Source organism: Homo sapiens, chromosome 1 (genome assembly GCF_000001405.40).
Source record: "Homo sapiens chromosome 1, GRCh38.p14 Primary Assembly".
NCBI lineage: Eukaryota > Metazoa > Chordata > Mammalia > Primates > Hominidae > Homo > Homo sapiens.
Window position 1 is genome coordinate 191,062,739 of NC_000001.11, and position 9,370 is coordinate 191,072,108.

Below are 9,370 nucleotides of genomic sequence, written 5' to 3' on the forward strand. Positions count from 1 at the left end.
ACTCTAGGCTCCATGTGGGCAACACACTTTTTCTCACAATTTTATTCCTAGTATCTCTAGAGAACCTGGCAGTATAAGTCTATTAATATATATTTGATGAAGTACTCAATGGCTGTTTTAAAGAATGAGTGAAGCTATTTATTGCAAAGTGCTAAGAAATATTTCTAATAATAAAAAAAGTGATTCTCCTTTGAAGCATATTATGACATACTGATGTGTCTGCAGCTTTGAGAATGGTTCTTTTTTTAAAGACTCTTTTTGAAAAAAATTCAATTTTATATATAATTTTATGTAATTCTATATATGTATGTACATAAGTTTTATATTTATTTTTATTTTTTACACATGCAAATAGTACTAGAATGTAAACAGTCAACAACTTGTGCTTTTAGTAGCAGTATGAATTTATTATAGCTTTTTAATTATTATTTTAACCCCTATATAGCAATATGATGTTTTTAAAGTACTTGAATTTATTTAACTAGTCTTTTTGATAGGTTGTTTCCAATTTTTTCATTTTTCATTTTTTCATTCAATGCATATTCATTGAACCACCTACTACTGTGTGCTGGACATTCCTACAGGCATGAAGATTCAGTGGTGAACAGAACAAAGTCCTTGCACTAGGTAAACTTCCAGTCTCATAAGCTGTATTGCAGAAAACACATCCCTGTACATGTTATGCTTACTTGCTTATGTGAGTCAATCTGAAGGATAAATTGTTCAACATGGAATTATTGAGTCAAAGGGCATAAAAATTTCAAATATAATAAATTTCTTTTCAAATTGACAAATGGGATCTCATTAAACTAAAGAGCTTCTGCACAGCAAAAGAAACTACCATCAGAGTGAACAGGCAACCTACAAAATGGGAGAAAATTTTCGCAACCTACTCATCCGACAAAGGGCTAATATCCAGAATCTACAATGAACTCAAACAAATTTACAAGAAAAAAACAAAGAACCCCATCAAAAAGTGGGCGAAGGACATGAACAGACACTTCTCAAAAGAAGACATCTATGCAGCCAGAAAACACATGAAAAAATGCTCATCATCACTGGCCATCAGAGAAATGCAAATCAAAACCACAATGAGATACCATCTCACACCAGTTAGAATGGCAATCATTAAAAAGTCAGGAAACAACAGGTGCTGGAGAGGATGTGGAGAAATAGGAACACTTTTACACTGTTGGTGGGACTGTAAACTAGTTCAACCATTGTGGAAGTCAGTGTGGCGATTCCTCAGGGATCTAGAACTGGAAATACCACTTGACCCAGCCATCCCATTACTGGGTATATACCCAAAGGACTATAAATCATGCTGCTATAAAGACACATGCACACGTATGTTTATTGTGGCATTATTCACAATAGCAAAGACTTGGAACCAACCCAAATGTCCAAAAATGATAGACTGGATTAAGAAAATGTGGCACATATACACCATGGAATACTATGCAGCCATAAAAAATGATTAGTTCATGTCCTTTGTAGGGACATGGATGAAATTGGAAATCATCATTCTCAGTAAACTATCGCAAGAACAAAAAACCAAACACCGCATATTCTCACTCATAGGTGGGAATTGAACAATGAGATCACATGGACACAGGAAGGGGAATATCACACTCTGGGGACTGTGATGGGGTGGGGGGAGGGGGGAGGGATAGCATCGGGAGATATACCTAATGCTAGATGACGAGTTAGTGGGTGCAGCGCACCAGCATGGCACATGGATACATATGTAACTAACCTGCACAATGTGCACATGTACCCTAAAACTTAAAGTATAATAAAAAATAAAATAAAATAAAAAAATAAATAAATGTCTTTTCACAGCAAGTTATACCAACTTAATATTATCACTAACGTTAGATACCATTAACCTTTATCATGTTTGTCAATCAGGCAAAACATACCTTATTTTAATTTACATTTCTTTGCTTGTTAATGAAGTATATTTTTACACGTTAATTAGCTATTTATATTTCTTCCATTAGTTGCCTGTTAATGTTTCTTCTTATTTTTCTATTGGGTTGTTTGTCAATTTTTTTATATTGACATTATTATTGATTATTTCTTATTACCCAGGCCTCAAATATATCCTCCTAGTATGCTCTTGATCTTTTTTATTATTATTATACTTTAAGAGTTCTGGGATACATGTGAAGACCATGCAGGTTTGTTACATAGGTATACATGTGCCACGGTGGTTTGCTGCAGCCATCAACTCATCATCTACATTAGGTATTTCTCCTAATGCTATCCCTACCCTTGCCCCCCACCCCCAGATAGGCACCAGTGTGTGATGTTCCCCTCCCTGTGCCTATGTGTTCTCATTGTTCAGCTCCCACTTATGAGTGAGAACATGCGGTGACTTTCAATAGGAAGACAATAATAGATGCTTGACTTTGGGGAAAGATTAAATAACCAATGTTGTCTAGCTAGAATACAACATTATGGGAGTGTCCATTGCTATATTTGTATATAAAACCTATGCTACAAATCAACACAGTGTGTTGAAGAAACAGGCTATTCATTAAACACTAGGTCAAAAGCAGTTTTGTGTTGCTACATTTGCCCTGGCAGAAGGTGCTGAAGTATTGGTTGCACTCTCTACTATTTCACACAGTATTTCTTCGGATTCCTAAAGAAAATGTGCCTCAATAAGGGAAGAGCAGCACCTTATGGGAGATATAAGTTAAATATCTGTAGAATATGTGTGGTATGATTTACTAATGTTAATAAGAATACTTCCCTTTTCCTTGACAAATGAATAAATCACCCTTTTCTGTGATTGACAGTCTCCATTATGCAAACAGGACTGGTTTGTGAACCATTGCATCCCACATGGGCTCGAGTTTTATAAAGAAAGATAAGCATTTATTTATGATGCTCAGGCAAATACTGAACCTGAGTAAAATGTTTAGAGTAGAGAAGTTTCAGCATTACATATGTGTCAACGGTGTACATCTCATGATCATCCTTGTATAATATTTTTTCTTCTTTAGGTTATATGATAACACTTACTTGAATTGCAAACGAATGCTTAAATAAAACTGATGTTGAACTTTTCTTCTTTTTAACTGACAAAGGTGAACTTTTCTACAGTGTGTCAATATCTACAACTCTGAAACTGCTTACACTGAAGGCAAAAGAAAGCCACTTTGAGCTATGAATGATGACCACCTGCAAAGAAATGATAAGACTGCAACTTTTCTTTCTTTTCTTGGCAGTATTCCCCTTGCTGTGTTCTGACTTATGCCAAGTAATTGGAATCAGTCAAACAGATAACAAGCTAATTTCCCTTTTTTCTTTCCTCTCAACTCAATACACTCATATTCTTCACAAGAAAATGTAACAATGTGTCTGTCACTTAAAATGAACCACCAGATGGATCTATAAAAATAGTAAAAGGAAAATTTGGAATACATTTCAGGATGACACAGGTTAATATATCCATAAAACTTTGTATTTTCTAAAAAAAAATTGGAATTAGTTAATTAGTTTTAATGAAAAGATCATTAGCAGAACAGTACACTATGTTGCTTTCATAGGGTTTAAATTGAGTTACTGAGTATGGAAAATAAATAAATGAAATAGATAATTTCTAATGGGTCACAGTCTGTAAAAGAAATAAAAATTATGATTTGATAATCTGTAATCGAGAAATAGAGAGTTATCTAAAATAAAGGTTAAAAACTTTTAGATAAAAGTTTTTATCTAAAATAAAAGTTTGGCATGGTAGGAGAACAGTAGGAGGACTAGCCTAGGTGATGCAGTTTGAGCTATTGGGTATGTAGTATAACTATTCATTGAGAAGAAGACAGCTGTGGAAGGAGCAGTTTTTGATAAGTTCTTATAGGATATGAAGACATATAGTGCTTTCTTGTGACTAGCATACAAGTAGAACTATTTACTTATATTTAAATACATGTTGCAGGATAAGGGCAGTGCTGAAAATATAAACTTTCAAATATATATATTTAAAATATATATATATATATATAGTGTATGGTGTGTGTGTGTGTGTGTGTGTGTGTGTGTGCGCGCGCGCGCGTAGTTAAACTGGTTGATATTACCGTGGGAGAATGCTTAGGTGGAGAATAGGAGGGAAACAAGGATTAACAACTTGCCTTTAAATTGTTCACATTTTGTATTACCATAGTACCATTAATCAAAATCAGGAAATTAACACTGATACAATCCTATTATCCAATCTAGAGACCATAGTCAAATTTTAGAACTGTCCCACTATTTTCCTTTTTCTGGGCCTGTATCATACATTGCATCTAGATGTCTTGTCTCTTTAACCTCCTTTCACTATTAAGGTGTAAAAGAAAGAACCAGGAAGGACTCTATGAACTAATATCCAGCAATTTCCAAAACCTATCATTTAGTGAAAATTACAAAGAATATCTCTAGGCTGCAATCTTTCATGTAACAAAGAAAAGGAAATAAGCAATAAGCATGTTATCTGCTCATGTATACAGCAAGGAGAAACCAGAATCTAATGAGAATACACAAGTGTGTGGGAATCCATGCAATGACACAATGTAAGAATTGGAATGGAAGAGAAGAAATAAGAATGGAGTGACATTTATCTGTCTATATTCTTTTGTATAGTTTAGACTTCCAAAACAATCTCAAATTTTACATATTCAAAAAATTAAATAAATATTTATCAACCATGATGTGATGGGAACACCAAAATGGAATGCAATACTAACAGATGGGTGTATAATATGATCACATCAAAGGAGTGGAGAAGAGAAATATTAGCCTGATTCTTAAAAGGTCAAAAAATAACAGACGCTGGCAAGGTTATGGAGAAAATCAAACACTTACATATTGTTGGTGGGAGTGTAAATTAGTTCAACCATTGTAGAAAGTAGTGTGGCAATTCCTCAAAGAGCTAAAAACAGAATTGCTATTCTACCCAGCCATCCCATTACTGGTATATACCCAAAGGATATATACCATATATATATATAAATTGTTATATATAAATACATATATAAATTGTTCTACCATAAAGACACAAACATGTGTATGTTCACTGCAGCACTATTCACAATTGCAAAGACATAGAATCAACCTAAATGCCCATCAGTCATAGACTGAATCAAGAAAATGTAGTACATAAACACCATGAAATACTATACAACCATAAACAAGAACAAGATCACCTCTTTTGCAGGAACATGGATGGAGCTGGAGGCCATAATCCTTAGCAAACTAATGGAGGAACAACAACAACAACAACAACAACAAACAAATACTGTATGTTCCCACTTACAAGTGGGAACTAAATGCTGAGAACACATGGACACAAAGAGAGGAAAAACAGACACTGGGACCTACTGGAGGGTGGAAATTAGGAGGAGGGAGTAGATCAGAAAAAATAACTATTGGGTACTAGGCTTAGTATTTGGGTGATGAAGTAATCTGTACAACACATTCCCACGAAAAGAGATTACCTATCCAATACCTATACCCCAAACCTAAAATAAAAAGAAAAAGAAAAATTATTAGCCTGACTTTGTAAAACAGGATTTTGATACCATAAAGTACAAGCCAAAAGAAACCTGTACAAAATATGTATTCCAAATATTAAACAGGCTTTTTTAAAACATAGATATGGGTTACTCACCCAGAAACTTCTTTTTTTGTGTCTTCTAGGACTAAGCAAATAACTGCTTATATTGAAAATAATGAAAGCAAGTTTATCACTGTTGTACACAATGGCTACAAATGCAGAAAGAGGAAGACTAGAGTGAGCTTCATTATACTGGATTGGGATTGTTGGTATCAGCATATGCTCATATCTTTTAATGTATTAGCAATAGATCTTAAAAGATATATTTGTGTTTATGCATATAATGTATAAAAGCAGAGCCTTTAGCAGTAACAAAAAGAGGAAAAGTCTAAAAAAACCTTAAATTTTTGGTACTTAATTTCTATGAATATTAAAATAAAAACATTCTTCTTTAGCCTTAACGGAAGTGGGTATGAAGTGGGTAAATGTTGATACTTCTGATGTTAGCATATTTTGTGGCAAAATAAGAATATCATAATTGAAAATTATAAATATGATTTTGTCACAATAAACATGAAATAACTTTGAACTGATGGCAATTTAACATTCATTGTTTAGTGCATGTCAGAGGCTTATGGATGATACACAGAAAAATAGTCCCTGTAGAATGCAAGACAAAAACATTTAGATAGTAATTTCATTAGAGTTTAACACAAAAGAAGCACCTATTCTTGACTTAAAATAAGGTATGCATTCAGGACATCATATGCACACTGCCTATGAGGGGATTTAAGCCTCCATAAAAACTGTACCTACAAAGAACTTTGGACATTTGTTGCCTAAAATTACTAAGGATCTTCGAATAAGGAAGTAGAACCCCATGACACTGAGAACAATGAGCTTCTGCACAGCAAAAGAAACTACCATCAGAGTGAACAGGCAACCTACAAAATGGGAGAAAATTTTCGCAACCTACTCATCTGACAAAGGGCTAATATCCAGAATCTACAATGAACTCAAACAAATCTACAAGAAAAAAACAAACAACCCCATCAAAAAGTGGGCAAAGGACATGAACAGACACTTCTCAAAAGAAGACATTTATGCAGCCAAAAAACACATGAAAAAGTGCTCATCATCACTGGCCATCAGAGAAATGCAAAACAAAACCACAATGAGATACCATCTCACACCAGTTAGAATGGCAATCATTAAAAAGTCAGGAAACAACAGGTGCTGGAGAGGATGTGGAGAAATAGGAACACTTTTACACTGTTGGTGGGACTGTAAACTAGTTCAACCATTGTGGAAGTCAGTGTGGCGATTCCTCAGGGATCTAGAACTGGAAATACCACTTGACCCAGCCATCCCATTACTGGGTATATACCCAAAGGACTATAAATCATGCTGCTATAAAGACACATGCACACGTATGTTTATTGTGGCATTATTCACAATAGCAAAGACTTGGAACCAACCCAAATGTCCAACAATGATAGACTGGATTAAGAAAATGTGGCACATATACACCATGGAATACTATGCAGCCATAAAAAATGATGAGTTCATGTCCTTTGTAGGGACATGGATGAAATTGGAAATCATCATTCTCAGTAAACTATTGCAAGAACAAAAAACCAAACACCGCATATTCTCACTCATAGGTGGGAATTGAACAATGAGATCACATGGACACAGGAAGGGGAATATCACACTCTGGGGACTGTGGTGGGGTGGGGGGAGGGGGGAGGGATAGCATCGGGAGGTATACCTAATGCTAGATGACGAGTTAGTGGATGCAGCACACCAGCATGGCACATGTATACATATGTAACTAACCTGCACAATGTGCACATGTACCCTAAAACTTAAAGTATAATTAAAAAAAAAAGATTACTTAAAAAGAGGAGTCCATACCTGTTCGTATATATTTGACAGGCATTTAGTTGAGTGTGTACTTCATGTCAGGCATTATGTCAGACCATGTTAATACAGAACAGAACACTTTGTTAATAACATTAAGATTTTTTGTGAACATTTTCTCCCATTCTGTAAGTTGCCTATTCACTCTGATGATAGTTTCTTTTGCTTTGCAGAAGCTCTTTAGTTTAATTAGGTCCCATTTGTCAATTGTGACTTTTGTTGGAATTGCTTTTGGTGTTTTAGTCATGAAATCCTTGCCCATGCCTATATCTTGGCAATTCCTCAAGGATCTAGAACTAGAAATACCATTTGACCCAGCAATCCAATTACTGGGTATATACCCAAAGGATTATAAATCATTCTACTATAAAAGCACATGCACACGTACGTTTATTGCAGCACTATTCACAATAGCAAAACTTGGTGCCCATGAATGTTAGAGTGGATAAAGAAAATGTGGCACATGTACACCATGGAATACTATGCAACCATAAAAAAGAATGAGTTCGTGTCCTTTGCAGGGACATGGATGAAGCTGGAAACCATTCTCAGCAAACTATCACAAGAACAGAAAACCAAACACCACGTGTTCTCATTCATAAGTGGGAGTTGAACAATGAGAACATATGGACACAGGGAGGGGAACATCACACACCAGGGCCTGTTGGGGGCTGGGAGGCCTAGGGGAGGGATAGCATCAGGAGAAATAAACAATGTAGATGACGGGGTGATGGGTGCAGCAAACCACCATGGCACAAGTATACCTATGTAATAAACCTGCATGTTCTGCACATGTATCCCAGAACTTAAAGTATAATAAGAAAAAAAAATGTTTTTTTGCAAAGGATTTTGAGTTGTTTACTAGAATTATTTTGAAGCATATTTTATTTAGTTTCACACAGACTTGAAATAAGTCTTAATCTTCGTTCATTTACACAGAACAGTCTGAACCAGCCCTGTGGCAAACTGAATATATTTCTTAATTTACACATTTCTCTGGATTAATGAAGAATTTTCTCAATCTTAAATGCAAATATTATTTTACATGTAATTTGCTTATTGAAAAAATAAACTCTATATAAATGTAACAAGAAATTTCTCCCTCATGCTGTTTCATTTTCCTATGGCATTGCTTTAACCAGCTAGAAGAAAGTGGCAATAAAAAAACAAAACAAAAAAAAACTAACAAAAGTTTAATTTGACCTAATAATAAAAGTGGAAAATTATTTACTGTTTTTGTTTCTAGTCACTACATGTGCAATTTGACTGTTTCTACATTCAAATCATTATTGAAATCTTTTATTTAAGAGTAAAAATGTGATCATATGATTAAAAAAATTGTTTTTTTTTATTTTTTTCTTGTCTTTTCTTTTTTTTTTTCCCAGAAGATAACTTTCTTTCATTAGAAGAAATGCTCAAATGCAAAGTTTACTGTTCCAGACTCATTTAAGATTGAAGTATGGAGGCCTCATTTATATGCCTACTCAAGTTGAAAGGGTTAAATTGGCATCACCTTGTGAAATGTAATCATTCAACTTAAAATAATATGTTAATGAATTAAAACAAAAGCATTTCCCCTTGAATACAGCACAGACATTAATACATTATAGTAACTCACTTTCATTAAATACTTGGAACCAACCCAAATGTCCAACAATGATAGACTGGATTAAGAAAATGTGGCACATATACACCATGGAATACTATGCAGCCATAAAAAATGATGAGTTCATGTCCTTTGTAGGGACATGGATGAAACTGGAAATCATCATTCTCAGTAAACTATCGCAAGAACAAAAAACCAAACACCACATATTCTCACTGTGGGAATTGAATAATGAGAACACATGGACACAGGAAAGGGAACATCACACTCTGGGGACTGTTGTGGGGTGGGGGGAAGGG